Source organism: Homo sapiens, chromosome 2 (assembly GCF_000001405.40).
Source record: "Homo sapiens chromosome 2, GRCh38.p14 Primary Assembly".
Lineage (NCBI taxonomy): Eukaryota > Metazoa > Chordata > Mammalia > Primates > Hominidae > Homo > Homo sapiens.
The window spans coordinates 65,486,195-65,507,657 of NC_000002.12; the positions used below are offsets into that span (position 1 = coordinate 65,486,195).

Sequence of the window (21,463 nt, forward strand, 5' to 3'; positions counted from 1 at the left end):
ACCTTCCAGCTTCTGCTGTTTTCTCAAATGCCAAGGTGCCATATTTTGGGGTAGTGTGTTCTGAACCCCATCACAATAAAATGATGAGTTATTGCGTTGGCCACCCCTACGCAGAACCTTCTGAGAAGATTTATGAAATGCATCTCAGGAACATCCTAGGGTTGGGGGAGAGGAAATGGGGAAGCATTTATCCTTTGCTCCCAGGCCCCCATGGGCAAAGATTGCCCCATAGGCATCAATACACCTGTATTTGCCTTGTCTAGGGCAGGGTGTGGGGAAAGCCAGGGGCATGATCCTTACATAAGCTTGTTGGTTACATAATGTCACTTCAACAATGCCTGGTATCTTGCTGAAGAAATGGCAAACTATTTTTAACCTCTTGGGACTTGCATCCTGGGACTTGCCTTCCTATAGCCCTGGCTATAAAACTCTAGGTGGCCCAATGTAAGGCTGGTAAGAATGGTGGTTGTGGAATTTCTATTTGAAAGGAGCCTTGGGGCAGCCATCTGTTTGGGACTTGGCGTAGGCTGTGAAGAACAGACATTGTGTTTACTTAGATTGTATGTGTATTTAGCGCATGCTGAAGGAATATGAGGGGTTGTTAGCTGTGAACACAGCCACCAAGAGCAAGACCTGTGGGCACGGTGGCTCATGCCTCTAATCCCAGCACTTTGGGAGGCTGAGGTGGATGGACTACTTCAGCCTAGGAGTTCGAGATCAGCTTGGGCAACACAGACTCCATCTCTATTTTTTTTCACTTCTTTTTTTGAGATGGGGTCTCACTGTGTTGCCCAGGCTGGAATGTGGTCATGCGATCTTGGCTCACCACAGCTCCAACCTCCTGGGCTCAAGCAATCCTCCCACCTGAGCCTCCCAAGTAGCTGGGACTATAGGCATGTGCCACCACACCTATCTAATTTTTGTATTTTTTTTTTTTGTAGAGATAGCATCTCACTATGTTGCCCAGTCTGGTCTCGAACTCCTGGGCTCAAGCCATCCTCCCATCTTAGCCTCTCAAAGTGCCAGGATTATAGGCATGAGCCATCATGTCTGGCCCATCTCAATTTTTGAGAAAATAAATTAAAAACAAAAAGGGTAAGGTTCTTCTTGAGCACATTCTGCCTGAGGTAGCCCAGAATCTTCAAGGCTTTCCACGCCTGATTGCTCCTTACAAAATGGTGCCGAGTATTTGGCTGGGCTCTCTCTCTTTCTTATCCAGTGTGCCAATCTCTCCTGCCCACGCCCTCACTGGGGTGAAGGGTGAAGGTAAGCAAAGAAGAAATCCTGTCCCAGCACAGGAGCTGTAAATGAGGTCTCAATTGCCAAGGCTTCAGGGAAATGTCTTCAGCCCCCTAAGTATGTGAAACTCCCGAGTTCCAAGTGGTGTGATCCAAGCACAACAGTAAGACTGGCAGTTACACAGTGTCTTCTGGTGCCAAGTTTTCAGACTGGGGAGCCACAGCGGTCACATGCGTCATCTTACTCAATCAGCCCTCTTAGACCTGCAAGAAAGGTGACTTGTTCAGTATGTGGTTTGTATACTTTATCCATGTCTTGGCTTGAAAAGTAGTCGTGAATTACCATGTATCTACAATCCTCAGCTATTGTCTCTTGAACCATGGTTTCCCTCCTGGTAAACATCTTTTTCAATCACCCCCTTTGACTCCCCAGTTGTTCTGACCTGAGGAAAGGTGGGGGAGGCAGAGTGATGAAGAGAATCACCTGGTATGTCCTGGCTTTATGGCTTTGCTCATGTGCCTCTCCCCTTTCGTTTTCCCTCCCCAGCTCTGCTCCTAGCCAGCAAACTCCCCTCATTCTCTAAGCCTTACTTTTCCAGGGCAGCTGTCCACTCCAGTTCCCAGGGGCCACCTTCTCTGAAAACATGGCACTTCTCTGCTCAACGCACTTGGCCATGAATCAGTTGAGCCTGATGGAAGCTCTGGTCTTGTCATTTATCTTTCCAGGCACTTCTACCTTATCTTTGTCCCTCTCCCACACCCTCTAGTAGATTGTAAGCTCCTCGAATTTGCTTTAATTTGTGACCTCCACAGGTCCTAATTCAGTGTCTTAGACATAAGAGGAATCAATAAATGAACAGAAAAAAGGTACATGACAATCTGGGGAAGGACACTCTGATGGCCCCTGTCTCCACTGGGTCTTAAACATGTTTGAGAAATTGGCTGATCTCTAGCATCCAATAATGAACACTGTACCAGTGCTTGTCAAGTTTGCTTGCTACCATCTTCCTTCCTTTCACACCATGATTGAATACCCTATCTGACATGCAGTCATTAAGAGTGTGAACTTCAGAGAGAGACCACCTTGGTTCAAATCCCAGCTCTTCTGTGTGACCTTGGGCAAGTGACTTAAGCTCTCTGAGCTTCATTTTTCTCATTTGTAAAATGGGGATAATAATAATAGTGGTGGCCTCTTAGGGTTGTCATGCAGATAAGATGAGGTAATTCACAGAAAGCATTTGGCAGTGTGAGTTCTCAGAGAAATATGGTTTTTGGCTGTCTGTGGGGAGCTCACCATCCAACAGGAAAATACACATTAATGCAACTATGTGTTTTAAGTTGGATGCCCTCAGAAACTGATCTGATGATACAGATTTGAGTGCAAATCGTGTATTTGAGAGGCGACCCCAGGAGGCACAGGTAAGAAAGAGGGGAAGTGAGACAGTACAGGATACGTTAATGAGCAGGTTCCCACTGTGGGCCCTCAGGTTCATTCCTGCTGGGGACCTCTGGGAGACTGCAGAGAGAAACCTCAGAGTTGTCTCTCCTCTTGCCAAGGGCAAGAAAGTTGGGGTCTTTTTCATCACCTCCTGTTACTCATTGCTTGAGGGTTGCTCCCAAAGGGTTTCCTCCCCTGTGCTTTCAGGACAGTCTCCCCAGGCAGCCAAAGACAGTTCTTAGACCATGAGTCAAAGATACTTGCAGAAGAAAGCCTGGGGTCAGGGTCATGGTCCCACTGGACCCTGTGCTGGGGGGAATCTCTGGATGGGGCATCGACTGTGACAGCCCTTGTTCTGAGTTCTGCTGTTATCCATAAGAGTTGGTGGAGAAAAATTGTAACCTTTCTGAGGTTGTTCAAGGGGAAGGTTTAGGTATGGGAGCATATGCTTCTGAAGAAAACCCTGCTGCCTCTTTAACGACTTGATTGTCAAGTGGCATCTCTGAAATCTCAGCGCCCACCAAGCTCTTTCAGCACTGAGGGTCAGCTCTGGAAGTGCAGAGACTGTTGCCTGCACTCGCTCGAGGGGAGGGCCCCACCCTCATTATCTCACTGGGATTTTATGACCCTGCTGTGTGAGCAGCAGTGCACAGCTGGGGCAGGAAAGAGCAACCTCACAGATTCAAAAAGGATAATGCTGCTTCCCGCACCTTCCCCACTTTTCAAAACTGGAAATAGCAGAGGCAAGGGGAAAAAATGTGCAGAAAGCACAGCAAATTGGGGGAAAAGCTGTTGCAGTTTTGCCTTTGTATGTTCCTCATTAAGGTTTGCCTTTTTCCTGCCATGATTGTCTCCAGAACTTATGGTTGAAAGGAAATGGGCTTGTGAGTAAAGCTGGAGAGAAATCAAGAAGTTATACTGAAATAGTAGTGGCAAAAAAAAAAAAAAAAGATGAAGTCAAGAAGTATTCGTTATTCCACAGGGAGATTTAGGGGGCCCATGGGGGTCTCATAGCAAGTGTGACTTCTAGACATAGCCAGACCAGGAAGTACAAGACAAAGTGACTTAAAGGTGCTTGTAAGAAACCCCCAGGCTCACAATTCTTCACACCTCATACTCACACCTACATCTTTTCCCTCCTGGTTCATTTAAAGCTTATTTTAGCTTTTAGTTTTAGGTAATTTCATACCTGCAGTTTTGATTTTTATTTATTTTTATTTACGTTTTGTTTCTCAGAGACAGAGTCTCATTTTGTTGCCTAGGCTGCTCTTGAACTCCTGGCCTGAAGTGATTCTCCCACCTTGGCCTCCCAAAGTGTTGGTATTACAGGTGTGTACCACTGCGCCAGGCCTGATGTTTTACATTCATCTTTGCCTCTATCCGTGAGTGTACTGGGTTGAGTAGTGTCTCCCCAAAATTCATGTCCACACAGAACCCCAGAAAGTGGTCTTATTTGGAGATAAGGTCTTGCAAATTTGTTAGGTGGGTGCAAAAGTAATTGCAGTTTTTGCCATTGAAAGTAATTGCAAAAACCGCAATTACTTTTGCACCAACCTAATAATTAGTCAAGATGAAATCACGCTGGATTAGGGAGGCCCTAAATCCAGTATGGTTAGTGTCTGATAAGAAGAGGGAAGTTTGGACACAGAGACACAGAAACACAGGGAAAGAGGCCATGTGAAGGTGGAGGCAGAGATTGGAGTGGTGTAGCTGCAAGCCAAGCAGTGCCAAGGTTTGCCAGCCACCCTTAGAATCTAGGAAGAAGCAAGGAAAGATTCTTCCCTAGACCCTTCAGAGGGAGTGTGGGCTTGCCAACAGCTTGCTTTCTGACTTGTAGCCTCTAGAACTGTGAGAAAACACATTTCTGTTGTTTGAAGTCACCCAGTTTGACAGCTCTGGGAGAGTAATCCAGAGTAGAAGCCACCTGAGGGCAAGGATGATGGTTTATTCACCTTATGCCTCTCTGCAGTGTTTAGTTCCAAACATGGCTGACTCAAGATGTTAAACGGAGCTTCATAAAAAGATGTTACTGGAAGGTATGGCTCTTTCTAGCCTGACTGCTGTCACAGCTGTAGAAATGAGGTTGTCAATCTGAGAGCAGGGCTCAGGGGTTTGGAGACTAGGTAGTTTCCTCTTGGGAGGACATGACAGTATTGGGGAAGGGAAACACTCAAGATGGTGACCCAGGACCTCCTGAATCTGTCTCCCAATTGTGGCTAGAGCTGGCCTGGTTTCTGGGCCCCCACATCTAATTATGTGGATTCCATGGTGGCTCCCGCCTGTAATCTCAGAACTCTGGGAGGCTGAGGCGGGTGGGTCGCTTGAGCTCAGGAGTTTGAGACCAGCCTGGACAGCATGGTGAAACCCTGTCTCTACAAAAAATTACAAAAATTAGCTGGATGTGCTGATGCGTGCCTGTAGTCACAGCTCCTCAGGAGGCTGAGGTGGGAGGATTGCTTGAACCCAGGAGGTCGAGGCTGCAGTGAGCCCTGATAATGCCACTGCATTCCTGCCTGGGTGACAGAGCAAGAGCCTGTCTCAAAAAAATAATAATGATTATTATGTGGATTCAAAGAGACTCAGATGCTCCTTCTACGAGCGGGGGCAAATCCTTGGGCATCCGAGGTCCTGACCGTGGATTACCCCAGCTGGTCTCCAGAGGACTTCTGAGTATCACCATGGGTGGGGACAAGAGGGTAGTGGGTTGGGGTTGAAGTCGACTTTAGCAAATAGCTCATTGTTCTCTTTCACCCTTCTGTGAAAGAGGATCAGAAGTTCAGGGCATGGCTCTAAGGAAGTTCCTGGCAGCTCTGTTTAGAGTAGCAAGATTTTGGAAATGACCCAAGTGTCTGACAATAGATGATTGGTTAGATAAGGTATGGGTTAGCCAGACGTTGGAATTTTATTCAGCCACTAAAAATGATGTCGTAGATGATTGTTTATTGACATGATAGGAGGATATCCTGTATGGAAAACACATATAATATTTTACACTTATGATATGTGCAAGATATATGTATGCAGGCATAGGAAAAAATCTACAAGGGCATAAGAGCAAGGTCTTAACAAGAGTTTTCTCTGGTTAGATAATGGATGATTTTTTTCCTCTTACGGTTGGGGGATATATTTTTGTAATATAAAACCAAAGTTATTTTTGTTTTAAGAAATGCTCCTGGCCAGACGCGGTGGCTCATACCTGTAATTCCAGAACTTTGGGAGGCCAAGGCGGGCAGATAACCTAAGGTCAGGAGTTCAAGACCAGCCTAACCAACATGGAGAAACCCCATCTCTACTAAAAATACAAAATTAGCCAGGCATGATAGTGCAGGCCTGTAATCCCAGCTAGTCCGAAGGCTGAGGCAGGAGAATCACTTGAACCCAGGAGGCAGAGGTTATGGTGAGCCGAGATCACGCCACTGCACTCCAGCCTGAGCAACAAGAGTAAAACTCTGTCTCAAAAAAAAAAAAAAAGAAATGCTCCTGCAGGCCAGGTGCAGTGGCTCATGCCTGTAATCCCAGCACTTTGGGAGGCCGAGGCAGGTGTATCACCTGAGGTCAGGAGTTGGAGACCAGCCTGGCCATCAAGGTGAAACCCCCTCTCTACTAAAAATACAAAAATTACCCGGGCATGGTGGCAGGTGCCTGTAGTTCCAGCTACTTAGGAGGCTGAGACAGGAGTATTGCTTGAACCCGGAAGGCAGAGGTTGCAGTGAGCAGCTGAGATCGCACCACTGCACTCCAGCCTGGGCAACAGAGTGAGACCCCGTCTCAAAAAAAAAAAAAAAAAAAAAAAAAAGAAATGCTCCTGCAGTATTCTATAGGTTGTGCCATGAGCGTCCTCCTTCCTTTTCTCTTATGAGAACTCACTTTTCTGCATTTTTTGCATAGGATTGGGCTCTCTTTCTTAATGTGTCAGCAGAGAGTCATGGCAGCAACGCAGAGAAAACCTCGTTACCGGGGCAGATGTGAAGTTTACCAGAAGCTTTTCCAGCCCCTTGGGCACCACCTCTTTGGTGCTGAGAATGGCTGAGCTCACCTGAGATGGTTTCCTTCCTTCTCTGCCCTTTCCACTGTGCAGGGTGGCTGGGACTTCCCTGACCTCCACCAACCCTGACCTTCCAACCTTGAGTCTACCTTGGATTCTCTCTATTCAGTCTCATCTTGCTTGAAATACTAAACCATATCCCATGTCTCCAAATATTGATTTTTAAAAGCTATATTGTTCCACTGCACTTCAACTCAGCCAACATTTATTTTACTGCTTATTTTGTGCCAGGCACTGAGGCAAGCTCTTGGGTAATAATGATCACCAGGACAAGGGTCTATGGCCAAGAAGGGATTGGAGCTAATGGAGCATCTATTAGGTGCCAAGCCCTTTGCTGAGGACCTTGTATACATTCTCACTTTTAATTTAATCTGTACAGGAATCCTTTGAGTGAGCACTAATATTTTTATGGTACAGATGAAAAATGAGGGTTAGAGAAGACTCACTACTTGTTTAAATAGTGATGGGGGATTTTAAACCCAGTTCTGTCTGACTCTACCACTGCTATTCCTACTACCACTCTACTCTAACTGCCTTAGAGCCCAAAGTTGTTTCCTTTACACAGTGCTCAGTTAGCAATAAATAATAGTTTGCTTAACTATTCCTTGCTTGGAACAGCTAGGTATTTTTAAGTATTTCCATTATTATAAGAAGACCCTGCTCTACTCATGTATGTATACATAACAGCCACTGATCTTTAAGAAAGTCTTACATATAGGGTGGGTGCGGTGGCTTACGCCTATAATCCCAGCACTTTGGGAGGCTGAGGAGGCGGGCGGATCACCTGATATCAGGAGTTTGAGACCATCCTGGCCAACATGGTGAAACTTGTCTCTACCAAAAATACAAAAATTAGCCAGGCATCGTGGTGGGCTCCCAGCTACTCGGGAGGATGAGGCAGGAGAATTGCTGGAACCCAGGAGGCAGAGGTTGCAGCGAGCGGAGATCACACCATTGCACTCCAGCCTGGGCGGCAAGAGTGAAACTCCGTGTTAAAAAAATAATAATAAAAAAATAAAAATTCTTACATATACATAGACATCATGAGTGTGTGAGAAAGAAAAGATGGAAAGAAAATACGCTAAACATTAAACAACAGTTACACAAGGGAAATAGATTGGGCATGGGAGACATGAGAAAAAAAACTTTTAGTTGAAAAAATAGACAAATTTTTAAGAGAAGTTTTAGGCTCACAGCAAACTAGAGTAAGAAGGTACAGAGATTTTCCATATACCTCCTGTCCGCACATATGCCCAGTCTCCCCCACTATCAAAATCTGCACCAAAGTATACATTTGTTACAATTGGTCAAACTACATTGCACATTATTATCACCCAAAGTCCATAGTTTACCCTAGGGTTCACTCTTTGTGCTGTACATTCTGTGCATTGGAACAAATGTGTAATGACATGCATCCACCATTACAGAATCATACAGAGTAGCCTCACTGCCCTAAAAATCCTGTGTGCTCTGCCTATTCATCCAGGCAACCCCCCCGCCCCAGCTCCTGGCAACCATTGATCTTTACTGTCTCCGTAGTTCTGCCTTTTCTAGAATGTCATATAGTTGGAATCGTACAGTATGTAGACTTTTCAGATGGGCTTTGTTCATTCAGTAATATGCATTTAAGATTGCTCCATGTCTTTTCATGGCTTGATAGCCCATTTCTTTTTAGCATTGAATAATACTCCATTGTCTGGATGTACCACAGTTCATCTATTCACCAACTGAAAGTCATCTTGGTTGCTTCCGAGTTTTGGCAATTATGAATAAAGTTGTTATAAACATTCACGTGCAGGTTTTTGTGCGGACATGTTTTCAACTCATTTGGGTAAATACCGAGGAGCACGATTGCTGGATCATATGGTAAGAGTATGTTTAGTTTTGTAAGAAACTGCCAAACTGTCTTTCAAAGTGGCGGTACCATTTTGCATTTCCACATGCAATGAATGAAAGTTCCTCTTGCTGTTCATCCTTGCCAGCATTTGGTGGTGTTACTGTTTTGGTTTTTAACTATTCTGATAGGTGGGTAGTAGCATCTTATTGTGTTTTAATTTGAAATCCCCTGATGCACATGATGTTGAGCATCTTTTCATGTGTATGTTTTCCATCTGATATCTTCTTTGTTGAGGTGTCTGTTTAGGTCATTTGGTTATTTTAAAAAATTGGATTGTTCATTTTCTTATTGTTGAGTTCTTTGTATATTTTGGATAACAGTCCTTTATCAGATATATCTTTTTAAAATAATTTCTCCCACTTTGTGACTTCTTCTCATTCTCTTGAGAACTTTCTGTTTTTACTTTACACATTTCAGTATTGTTTGATTTTTTTCCCTGCAAAGAGCATACCGTGCTTTTTGTGATTGCCTTCCAATGCATTCAGAAGCATACAAATAAATAAGGTTTTTATCAGCAATATAACTGCTTTTAGAAGGATTCCTGGTGAAAAGAAAAGATTTCTCCCAAACAGAGCCCATGTTCTCTCTTGGCCCTGCCAAGAGGAGAGAACAGTAAGCATAGTGAATAACTCCCACTGGAGGTTAGGAACTTTTTAATAGCTTGTGTGTGGTTATGACTGTGTCATGTATTTCAGAGTTTAATGACTATATTATACATTTATAAGTCTGATAGGGGCTTGGATAAACAGGAGAGTCTCTGCCTCCCTCAAAAGAAATGCTAATGCATTGGATTCCCTTTGGCTAAAAGAAAAAACTGGAGCCAGCTGTCTCAGTTGGAGAGAGCAAAGAGAAAGGTTAGAAAAAAGAGAACATACTTGAGGCTGGAAAAAGACATTTGGCAGAGGATACACTTCTTCAGCTTGTGGACTTCTGTGGCCCTTATAGGAAGAGGCTCCACATTTATTCTGGTCAAATGTCTTGGATCGCAGACCAACCGCATCATAAACTGATTGTGTGACTTGAAGAAGATGCTTAGTTGTTTTGAGCCACAGTTTCCTCGTTTGGAAAATCCAGATTCTAATAATAATAGTAACTATCTCACATGGTTGTTATGAAAATAAATGATCTTCCCTTTCAAAGCGCTTTGTAAAGAACTAAGTGCTTGTTCTAACGTGCTGTGCAAATACTTTCTGTCTATACGGACAAATTGCATTTGCATGCCTGCTGTGTGTGGAGCGATGGCTACACAGAAAGTAATGGGTGTACAAAATGGATATATTACACAAATGATAACATTATTATTATACAAAATAATGCTTGGTGCTTACCCTCAAGAAACTTACAGACAGACCAGGTGCGGTGGCTCACGCCTGTAATCCCAGCACTTTGGGAGGCTGAGGTGGGCGGATCACAAGGTCAGGAGATCGAGACCATCCTGGCTAACATGGTGAAACCCCATCTCTACTAAAAATACAAAAAATTAGCTGAGTGTGGTGGCGTGCCTGTAGTCTCAGCTACTCGGAAGGCTGAGGCAGGAGAATCGCTTGAATCTGGGAGGCGGAGGTTGCAGTGAGCCAAGATTGCACCACTGCACTCCAGCCTGGGTGACAGAGCGAGACTCCGTCTCAAAAATAAAATAAAATAAAATAAAGAAACTTACAGACAATATAAAAAGAAATGCTGGGTGTGGTGTCTCATGCCTGTAATCCCAGCACTTTGGGAGACCGAGGCAGGAGGATCACCTGAGCCCAGGAGATCAAGACCAGCCTGGGCAACACAGTGAGTCCCCATCTCTACAAAAATTAAAAAACATTAGTCAGGCATGGTGGTGCACATCTGTAGTCCCAGCTACCTGGCAGGCTGAGGCAGGAGAATCACTTGAGCCCAGGAGGTTGAGGCTGCAGTGAGCTGTGATTATGCCACTGTACTCCAGCCTAGGTGACAGAGCAAGACCCTGCCGAAAAAAAAAAAAAGGAATGGACAGGTATGTGGAAAAGATAGTTCCAATACTGTTTCACTGTAGCTCAAATCAGATAATTTACCACTTAAAAATATAGGGTCATCTGTGCTGTTCATTATTATAAGAATGTTCATCTCATCTTCCAAAGTAGATTGCAGGCTTCTTGAGGGTAGGGCCCATGTTTTCTTTTTCCTCCCACACCAACTTATACGGAGTTCAGAAAAACCATATCTGTTACCATTTATAGAGGGCTGTCTGTGGACTAGGCACCTTGTTAAGATCTTTTTTTTTTTTTTTTTTTTTGAGATGGAGTCTCACTTTGTCGCCCAGGCTGGAGTGCAGTGGTGTGATCTTGGCTCACTACAACCTCCGCCTCCCAGGTTCAAGCGATTCTCCTGCCTCAGCCACCCAAGTAGCTGGGACTACAGGTGTGTGCCACCACGCCTGGCTAATTTTTTGTATTTCTAGTATAGATGGGGTTTCACTGTGTTAGCCAGGATGGTCTCGATCTCTGGACCTCATGATCTGCCCGCCTCGGCCTCCCAAAGTGCTGGGATTACAGGCATGAGCTACTGTGCCCGGCCAAGATCTTTTAGATATATTATATTATGGAATCTTTGAAACTATCCTATGAGGTAATTTTATTTAATTAATTTATTTTATTTTATTTGAGACAGAGTCTCGCTTTGTTGCCTAGGCTGGAGTGCAATGGTGCTATCTCAGCTCACCGCAACCTCTGCCTCCCGGACTCAAGCGATTCTCCTGCCTCAGCCTCCTGAGTAGCTGGGATTACAGGTGCCCACCACCATGCCCAGCTAATTTTTATATTTTGTATTTTTGATAGAGATAGGGTTTTACCATGTTGGCCAGGCTGGTCTTGAACTCCTGACCTCAGGTGATCCACCTGCCTCAGCCTCTGAAAGTGCTGGGATTACAGGCATGAACCACCATGCCTGGGCTTTATGAGGTAATTTTATAATTTCAATTTTACAAATGAGGAAACTGAGGCACAGAGTGGAATAGCTTTCATGAGGCCTCTCAGCTGCTGAGTGTTGGGATCAAAATTTGAACCTTGATTTTTTCAGCCCATATTCTTCTTTAAAAATAATTTTTATTGTGTATCTTTGAGGTTTACAACATGATGTTATAGGATACAGATATAGATAGTAAAATGGTTACTATAGTGAAGCTGATTAACATATCTATCATCTCACAGTTACTTTTTTTGTGACAAGAGCAGCTAAAATCTACTTATTTAACACAAATTTTAAAGCAATGCAATTTTATTAACTTAGCCCTAATGTTGTACATTAGATTTCTAAAGGTGTTCATCCTGCGTTATCTGCTATTTTATGTCCTTTGACCTACATGTCCCCATTTCCTCTCCCCCTCCCCCTTGGCCATGGTAACCTCTGTTTTATTCTCTGCCTCTGTGTATTTGAGCTTTTTTTTTTTTTTTTAAATCCATGTATAGGTGAGATCATGCAATATTTTTATTTCTGTGTCTGGCTTAATTCACTTAGCACATGTCTTCTAGGTTCATCCATGTTCTGGCGCAAATGACAGGATCTCCTTTTTTAAGGCTGAATAATATTCCTCTGTGTGTGTCTGTGTGTGTGTGTGTGTCTCTGTGTGTGTGTGTGTGTGTGTGTACGCATCATATTTTATCCATTTGTCCATAGATGGACATTTAGGTTGTTTCCATATCTTGGCTATTGTGAATAATGCTTCAATGAGCATGGGAGTACAGATGTGTTTATGAGGTGGTGATTTCATCTCCTTGGGGTATACACCCAGATGAGAAATTGCTGAAAATCCCATATTCTTAACGACTAGGCTGGGAATTTTGGAAACTTGTTGACTGGTTGCTAAACTAATCTCGCAGCCTGGAGTACTTAGTGCTGAGCTTAAGAGGAGGTATGAGGTAAGGTATTAGAGACCTCCGAGGGGTGACAGGGAGCTTTTGGGCTCTGAATCATGTTTCTGGGGGGTATTTTTGTAGTTGGGGATCACATGCATTTTCCTGTTTCTGCTCCATGAGAACTGAGAGTATTTTCTGGCTCTGATTTAGCAGTCAGTTGAAGATTCCTGTGGGTTCCACATGTGAGGAGAGTTCAGTCTAGATGGGAGCGTAGCGTGCGTATGGGGTAGTATATAGAGTAGAGGCCCAGGGACCAGATAGATCTGGAGTAGGGGCCATCTGGGATGCTGCTTATAAGGACCAAGTGACAGAGAGGACATAAAAGCAGAGCTGGGAAGGGGAGATGCTGGGAGAAACAGTGAGACAAACTGGGAGGTCAACTAAAGCCCCGCCAAATTGACATTGTGGTCTTCATCGTTCTTGCCCTTTTAAGTGAACAGAATTAGCTCCATCAGTCAGAATCCATCAGGAAGCAGCCAGTACACTGAAGAGGTAAAGTCAAAGAGAGGTTAATAAAGGGGGTATTTAGAGAAAGTAAGAGAAACCAATAGGGGCTGGTGAAGCACCTCGGGCTAGCAGTAGGTGGAGGTGCTGCTACTCCTGGGCTTGAAGGCCAAGGGGACAAGAGCAGATACAGGAACACCCTGAGAGCTTTAGCTCTAGGACAGGCCCCTAACAGGACCTGTGACCTTTGCAAGAGAAACACGGCCACTGCCAGCCTGCAGCGTGGTAGGAAGTGAGCCGGTGGATAAACACTCCAAGTTCTCTTTTTTTCACCCTTTGATTTCCTGCCACTCACATCGGTTTCATCCAACCAGATGCCAAAAGGCGAGGGAGTCAGCTCATGTTATCAGCAGCCTGGATGCAGAGCAGACAAGGATGGATCTGAGGGGCAAAGAGAGCATCCTCTGCCTTTATCCACAGGTGTACTTAGAAACTGCTGGGAACACAACCCACGATGCTATCCATAGGGAAATATCTAAATAAACTGTGATGTGTCCATACTAGGAAATCCTAGGCAGAAGTTGAAAAGACAGAATAAATCAGTAGTTATTGCTATGGAGAGATTGCTGAGATCTATTGTTGAGTGGTGAAGCAAATTGCAGAAAAATGCCTAGAGTAGGATGGCATGTTTACGATACTCACCCCCGCCCCCCACCACCACATACACTATCATAAGTCTATTAAGGTGCAGCACGGTGGCTCACGCCTGTAATCCCAACATTTTGGGAGGCCGAGGCAGGCAGATCACCTGAGGTCAGGAGTTCCGGACCAGCCTGGCCAACATGGTGAAACCCCATCTCTACTAAAAATACAAAAATTAGCCGGGCATGATGGCGTGTGCCTGTAATCTCAGCTACTCTGGGAGGCTGAGGCAGGAGGATCGCTTGAACCTGGGAGGTGGAGGTTGCAGTGACCCGAGATCACGCCATTGCATTCCAGCTGTGGCGGCAAGAACGAAACTTTGCCTCAAAAAAAAAAAAAAGTCTATTAAATGCCCCATGTCTTTTATGGTATTTTGTTATATGTATATGTCCATATGCAAAGTTTGGAATAACATACATCAAACTGGTAAGAGTGGTTTGCTCTGGAGAGGTGGGAGGCAGTTCAAGATTTGGGGGGTGGTCAAAGGGGACTTCAGTTGTGGTAGATAGTACTGGCTGCTTAATAACAGCCATTTCCCACTCACCCCCTTCTTTAATGCTAACAACTCAAATCTTATTCAGGTATCAAAGGGCAGCATTGTGCTCAGGGAAGGTAGGTCCAGGTGTCAAATCACGATTGAGCTAAGCCAAGTATGCTTATACCACTCCCCTTTGCCTGTGATTTGTCTAGGGGTAGGCATGTGACCTAGTCTGCTGTTGACTTTTTTTTTTTTGGCTTCCAATTCCATTTTAATTTTGTTTCTTTGTATGTCTTTCCTTAAATATATAGTCCATCGCCTTGGCTTAGTGCATGTCACCAAAAATTCTCCAGGAATTTCATAGTTTGGACCTTGGTGGCATGGCTGGCCCTGGATTATCCATGCAGGGAGGCCTGATCCTGTGACAGCTGGCTGCAGCAGGGGGCTGCCCATCTTCTGTGCTTTGTGGTACATATCTGTGTCACCAAAGTAGCGGCCTCGGTACAGCAAGCCTTTCATCTGCTGCTTCTCCGTCCAGCAGTTGTTCCAGAGGTTGGCGATATAATCATCTTTCACATTCGGTTTGACTGTTTGGAGGCTGGAGCCTGTGTACTCCTCGGAGAAAATGCCTGCCACATAGTAGATGACACTCAGGTGGTCAGTGACTCGCCTGTGATGTGGCCCACAAACAGTCTTGGGCTCAGACTGTAGGGTGGACTGGAGACCATGAGCTGGCTGAGAGCTGACATGAGGATGAGGATGGGTATCAGCTGCACGAACACCCGCAAGCTGCCGTCACTCCGCTTCTCCCTGCAGCCCTGCCTTTGCTGGTAGGTATAGCGCATGCAGCCATTGCTGTAGACGTAGACTTTACTAGAAGGGAAGCCATTGCCAAAGAACATGTTGAAGAGGTCTTCAGGGGAGATGTCAGCCTCAAAGCCGTGGTGGAAATCCCCATGACGATGCTGGACCTGACTGCCTGACTCCTGTTATCGCCCAAGTGGTCATACTGCTTCCTCTTTTCTTTCTTTCTTTCTTTCTTTCTTTTTTTTTTTTTTTTCCTGAGACAGAGTCTTGCTCTGTCGCCTAGGCTGAAGTGCAGTGGCTTGGTCTTAGTACACTGCAACCTCTGCTTCCCTGGTTCAAGCAATTCCCCTGCCTCGGCCTCCCGAGTAGCTGGGTTTACAGACATGCACCGCCACTGCCGGCTAATTTTTGTATTTTTAGTACAGACAGAGTTTTACCATGTTGGCTAGGCTGGTCTCAAACCAGCTGGTCTTGAACTCTTGACCTCATGATCCGCCCACCTTGGCCTCCTAAAGTGCTGGGATTATAGGCATAAGCCACCGTGCCGGGCCACACTGCTTCCTCTTCTCCGGGTTGCTGAGTACTGCATATGCTGTGCCAATGGCTTTGAAAGCTCCAGTGGTGCCAGGTGCATGGTTCTTGTCTGGGTGGAATTTGAGGGCCAGTTTGTGGTAGGCCTTCTTCAGGTCCTCATCTGAGGCCCCTCTCCTCACCTCCAGGATCTCATAATAATCCTTACATTGCTTGACCCTTTTCACAGCTGCAACTCCTTCTGCAGTGTAGCCTTTGGTGCTCTCTCCTCCTCCAGCTTCACCGTTGGCCTAGGGAGCATCGGTCCCACCTGCTTTCCTGTGGGTGGCATGGGTTGTGTCTGTGGGTTGGGGTTGGTCACCAGCAGTTTGTGGTTCCTAGTTGAGAGACTCCATCAGGCCACACACTCGCGGCATTGGGTACAGCCACTGTGCCTTCTCCAGGATGAGGAGCGCCTGGTTGGGCTGGTTGCACTGGATGGCTTGAGGGTGATGCTGATACAGAGCTCGGCTTCATCCTTATTGGATTACATGGCAGAACCAGAGCATGGAACCTGCTGTTGACTTTTAAGAAGTGTTTTTGTTGTTGTTGTTCTAATAACAGAGTATAGTAGATGAAGTAAGTAGATGAAGGTGAAAAGTTCTGCTTCTCCCTTTCCTTTTTGCCTTGGGATGGAGTTGTTGGAAATGTGATGCTTGGAGTTACGGCAACCATCTTGTGACCCAGGGGAAAAGGCCAGGAGAGGCCGGGCACGGTGGCTCACACCTGGAATCCCAGGACTTTGGGAGGCTGAGGCCGAGGTGGGCAGATCACGAGGTCAGGAGTTCAAGACTAGCCTGACAAATATGGTGAAACTCTGTCTCTACTAAAAATGAAAAAATTAGCTGGGTGTGGCAGCATGCACCTGTAGTCCCAGCTACTCGGGAGGCTGAGGCAGAAGAATCCCTTGAACCCGGGAGGCAGAGGTTGTGGTGAGCCGAGATCGCGCCACTACACTCCAGCCTGGGCGACAGAGCAAGACTCCATCTCAAAAAAAAAGGCGAGCAGAAATGGAGAAATGTAGAGACATTAGCCTAGCATCTTAATTTTTTATTGTTGTTGTTGTTTTTTTGAGATGGAGTTTTGCTCTTGTTGCCCAGGCTGGAGTGCAATGGCATGATCTCAGCTCACCACAACCTCTGCCTCCCCAGTTCAAGCAATTCTCCTGCCTCAGCCTCCCGAGTAGCTGGGATTACAGGGATGCGCCGCCATGCCTGGCTAATTTTGTATTTTTTTTTAGTAGAGGTGGGGTTTCTGCATGTTGGCCTGAAGTGATATATTTTCTCAGTATAATTTATTCATGCATTACTTGTGTAATTACACATTTTTCAAAGGAGGGCAAAACGCCTTAGGCATTTGTACTTCATCTTCAGAGTTGACCTGATCCTCCTTCTGCTGACTCTGACTCTCTCTACCCTTCAGGACTCTTGTTTGCCTCTGCTGCTGGTCTCTCGGCTGCCAGCTGAACTGCTTTGATTGACAACTTAGGTGTTCAAGACTTTTGGAATGCACACTTTAGCCTTCCTGGGGCTGCTCCATCCTTTTTACTCCCTCAGGCTGGGGAACCCACTGTTTGGGGCTGCCCTTTCCACAGCACTTTCTTCAGGGAGGGACTTGCCGTTTGGTAACTGACACCCCTCACCCCCACCACTTCTCTTCTGAGGAGATGGAAGAGCTGCAGCATAGAAGAAGCTGGGGAACAGGCCCAAAACCAAGGGCCCCAGAGTCTAGGTGGGATTCCTTTGGCTCTGGCCCTAGGCCTGGCATCTGAGTATTATAGAGAAACTCATTTTATGTTTATCCAGGGGTTCTTGCATTGCCTGTGATTTCTGAGGATGCTTTTAAATCACTAGTATTCACTGCCTCTACTAGAACTTCTGTACACTGGATTTTATTCCCCCCAGCTATAAGGGCTTGTGAAAATATCTTAAAGAGTAGAGTAAGTAGCTCGGGCAGGCTTGCATTTGCAAAAGCCCACCCTCACTGATGGAAGACTGGTGGGAGGCCCTTGTGATAGGTTGAGGGAAAGAAGCTGAGGTTTTAGTTGGGGCCCAGGATTGGGGTGGAGGGGAGGAGATGGGTGTGAGTTTTCCCCTTCCCTTCTCTGTGGGCGATGCTCCACATACGGTGGCAAGGAAAGTTTTCTGCATTCTTCAAAGCATGAGCAGAGATCTTTTGCATGCTGTTTCCACGGGTGTTTCAGGGAGCTCTCTGTAATAAGGGTTCCCTTTGTGGCAGTTGGCAGTCGGTTCCAAGCTCATCATTTTGTTGCAGCAGGACTTGGCAGGGGCATGGGAGAACAAGACTTCTGCTGTTCCTTTGCCACTCTGAGCTCTGCACCCGTACCTATGAGGGCTACCTCTTTCCTCCATCCTGTTCCACCTGTCCTCTTCCTGCCATTCTTTTGTCCAAACCTGTGGGAGGCTGCATTCAAGTTCACAGAAAAGGGGTACCTGTAGTCAAAAAGGGTAGGAGGATGGGAGGAGAGGATTAAGGAAAAGCCAACTTTTGCCTCAGATGCCCGGCTGCTTTATTATGCATGCTTTCCTCTTTCTCACTGTTTTTTGGAAAGGCTGAAAATAAACACTTTTGTAATACTGACTTGTAGTTCACACTTTCCTGACAAGTTACTCAAACTGCAGCCACAGCCGCTTAAAGAGAAGTTTGACGCAAGCCTTATTCAGCAGACGCTTTCTAATTCAGAATGTTCCGAGGCAGTTGATCTTGCTACTTCTAAACTAGTGAAGGGGCCGAGGAGGGGGCACATTGCTTAACCTGGGAGCCCTGGGCCAGTACCCACCACCAGCAAGTCCACCAGCATCTCCACCACAAAGTCAAGCTTTTGAGACTGCTGGGTCCTCAGGGCTGTTACCCAGCTCACTTATTCAAGAAATGTCACAGAGTCATTAAAAATCTCACCTGGAAGAAACTATGAACATCTCTTAATTCAAGATCCCTTTTTCTGTAGGCCAGAGAAGTGACTTCCCTGCTTAAAATGAACAGAACTATTAGGAGCTAGGGATACAGCCCCAAACTCTGGAAGCTTCCCATTGAGCCATGCTTTGTTAATTTCATGGATTTGATTTATTACGTTTCAGTTTTTATTACAAAAACTTTCAAACATACACAAAAAGTTGAGAGAAGAGTATAATGAACATCTGTGTACCCATCACTCAATGTCAATACTGGTCGCCGATTCGATGTTATCTTATCTAGTCCCCATTTTCCCTCACTGCAACCAGATAGACGTCGTAACACTTTATCCACAAGTACAGCAATATGTGTCTCTAACAGAAAGCTTTAAAAAATAGTGTAACCATAGTTACCATTATCACATCCACAAAATTAGCATTATTTCTTAGTGTCATAATACCTTCGAACACAGTTTTCTCCGGTTGTGTCAAAAATGTCTTTTTGCAGTTTGTTTAAATGAGGATCCAAACAAGGTCCACACATTGCATTTGTTGACATATTTTAAGGGGTTTATACTGTCATGGTCCCTCCCCTATACCTTCCCCATGCCATTTGTTTGTTGATATAGTTGGGTCATCTGTCCTTCAGAACTTCCCACGTTCTGAATGTGGCTGGTTGTATTCTGCTGGTGTCCTTCAACCTATTTTTCCATCCTGTTTCCTGTACATTGGTACTGAAGATGTAGACAACAGTGATTCTCAGCTGGGGGAGACTTTGCTTCCCTCACCTCCCAGGGGACGTTTGGCAATGTCTGGAGACTTTTGGTTGTCACACCTGGGGGTGGGGGTGCTTCAGGCATCTGGTGGGTAGAGGCCGGGGATGCCGCTAAACATCCTGCAGTGCACAGGACAGCTGCCCACAGGAAAGAACCACGTGTCCCCCAATGTCAGTAGAGCTGAGGTTGAGAAACCCTGACTGGGAGACTTGAAATTCAAGTTTTGCTTTTGGCAAGGATATTTCATAGGTGGAGCCGTGTACTTCCTGCTGCATCATATCAGAACACTGTGTCTGATGTTAAGGTGATGTTTCGGTTGGTCAGTGGATTCAGGAGGGGTCAACCTCACACATCATAAAATTAGCCAAATGGGCATGTTTTGAGAGTAAAAGGGAGTGCTATTAATAGATGAAAACTGGGAATGTTTCTGGCAAACAGAGACATGTGATTATCCATTGATTTTTCAAGAGCTTTATTCATCTCTAATGAATTTTCTTTCACTTTTTTACCAGTTTTAATCAAAGTTACATGGGCACATAATTTTTTTATTTTTAAATTCATATATTTTTAAGAGACAAGGTCTCACTCTGTTACCCAGGTTGGAGTGCAGTGCTTGATCATAGCTCACTGTATCATCAAACTCCTTACTTCAAGTGATCCTCCCACCTCAGCTTCCCAAATAGCTAGGACTATAGATGTGTGCCACATGTCTGGATAATTTTTTTTTCTTTTGTAGAAACAGCGTCTTGCTATGTTACCCAGGCTGGTCTGGAATTCCTGGCCTCAAGTGATCCTCCTACCTTGGCCTCCCAAAGTGCTAGGATTACAAGCATGAGCCACCGTGCTTGGCCCATGGGCACATAATTTAAAGAGGCACATAATTCTCCTAAACTTGTTGCTGCGGTAATTTCCTCATTCCTCCCTATTTTCCTTTCCTAAGAGGCAACCACTTTCAATTCTTTCAGTTGGTTCTTGTAATATTTATCCTCACACATCCTAATATGCTTAAATTGCTACTTCATGGTTTTTCTGTTTTTGGCATTTTAAAAGGACTTCTTTCTAAAGAATATAATTTATCTTTCTGACAATGCTCTCTAGCCCCCAGTACAAGCCTTTCTTGACCTTTCATTTTCTCAGAACAGTGAAATTCTAATTTTAGCTGTCTGCTTATATTTAAGAGTGGGGTATTAAAAAGCCAAATAGCAGCTCTGATCTTGTGAGTGGAGCCTGTTGACTGCTATCTTCCCCATTGGGTTATCTGGCTATGCTACCCTCCAATGTCAGGATGTTTGATCATTTCTTCTTGGGCCAGTAAGTCTTCCAGTCTTCTGCCCAAGGAGATAGACCGGGCTGCCAGGGTCCTGGGACCCAGGTGGGGCCAAAGAGCAGTGAGTCTCAGCATTCCTTCTGTGGACTTTCCTTTTTTTGTTGTAATTCCTTGCCATCAGTGGTGCCCGCTGTCCTTCAGTCAGTCCTTAGAAGCTCCATTAACTTCCTCCAGAGAATAAACCTTAAGTCTAGTGGCAGGATTGTGGGAGGTCAGTTGCCCAGTTGCACAGAATTGGGGAAGGAAGCTAAGGATCAAATTGTTATTTTTTTTAAAAAAACAGCTTTATTGAGATATAATTGACATAAAATAAATATCACTTATTTAAAATGTACAATTTGATAAGTTTTGACATGTGTATACACCCATGAAATTATCAACAGTCAAGATAATGAGCACCTGGGCATGGTGGCTCACGCCTGTAATCCCAGCATTTTGGGAGTCCAAGGCAGGAGGATGACTTGAACCTAGGAGTTTGAGACCAGCCTGGGCAACAAAGTGAGACTCCCATCTCTACAAAAAATTTGAAAATTAGCCGGGCGTGGTGGTGCATGCCTGTAGTCTCAGCTACTCAGATGACTGAGTGGGAGGATCGCTTGAGCCCGGGAGGTCGAGGCTGCGGTCAGTGAGCTATGATCACACCACAGCCCTCCAGCCTGAGTGACAGAGTGAGACCCTGTCCCCCTCCCCCCCAAAAAAGTAAAAATAAGATAATGAGCATATTAGTTGCCCCTTAAGTTTCCGTTGCCCACTCAGGCAACTGCTGATCTGCTTTCTGCCACTAGATTGGTTTGTATTTTCTAAGATTTTATGTAAAAGTAATCATATAGTACTTGCTCTTTTTAGGGGGGAAGGATTCTGCTTTTTTTTCACTCAGCATCATTACTCTGAGATTCATTCAGGTCGTTGAGTATATCAATAGATTATTCCTTTTTATTGTTAAGTAGT

The 21,463-nt window shown here is 45.1% G+C and overlaps 1 long non-coding RNA gene and 1 pseudogene across 2 annotated transcripts in view; both read right to left on the reverse strand.

Moving 5' to 3' along the window:
- Nucleotides 1-1,426: 1,426 nt before the first annotated feature.
- LOC105374781 (uncharacterized) overlaps nt 1,427-21,463 on the reverse strand; it is a 31,293-nt gene continuing 11,256 nt past the window's right edge. Inside the window, exon 3 of one of the 2 annotated variants that reach the window (XR_940192.3) lies at nt 1,427-1,502. This is a non-coding gene — a long non-coding RNA (uncharacterized LOC105374781). Of the gene's footprint in view, nt 1,503-17,868; nt 17,954-21,463 lie in introns of those variants that run through there. The other variant, XR_940191.3, reaches the window with a different exon arrangement.
- On the reverse strand, nt 14,376-16,015 carry DNAJB12P1 (DNAJB12 pseudogene 1; annotated as a pseudogene).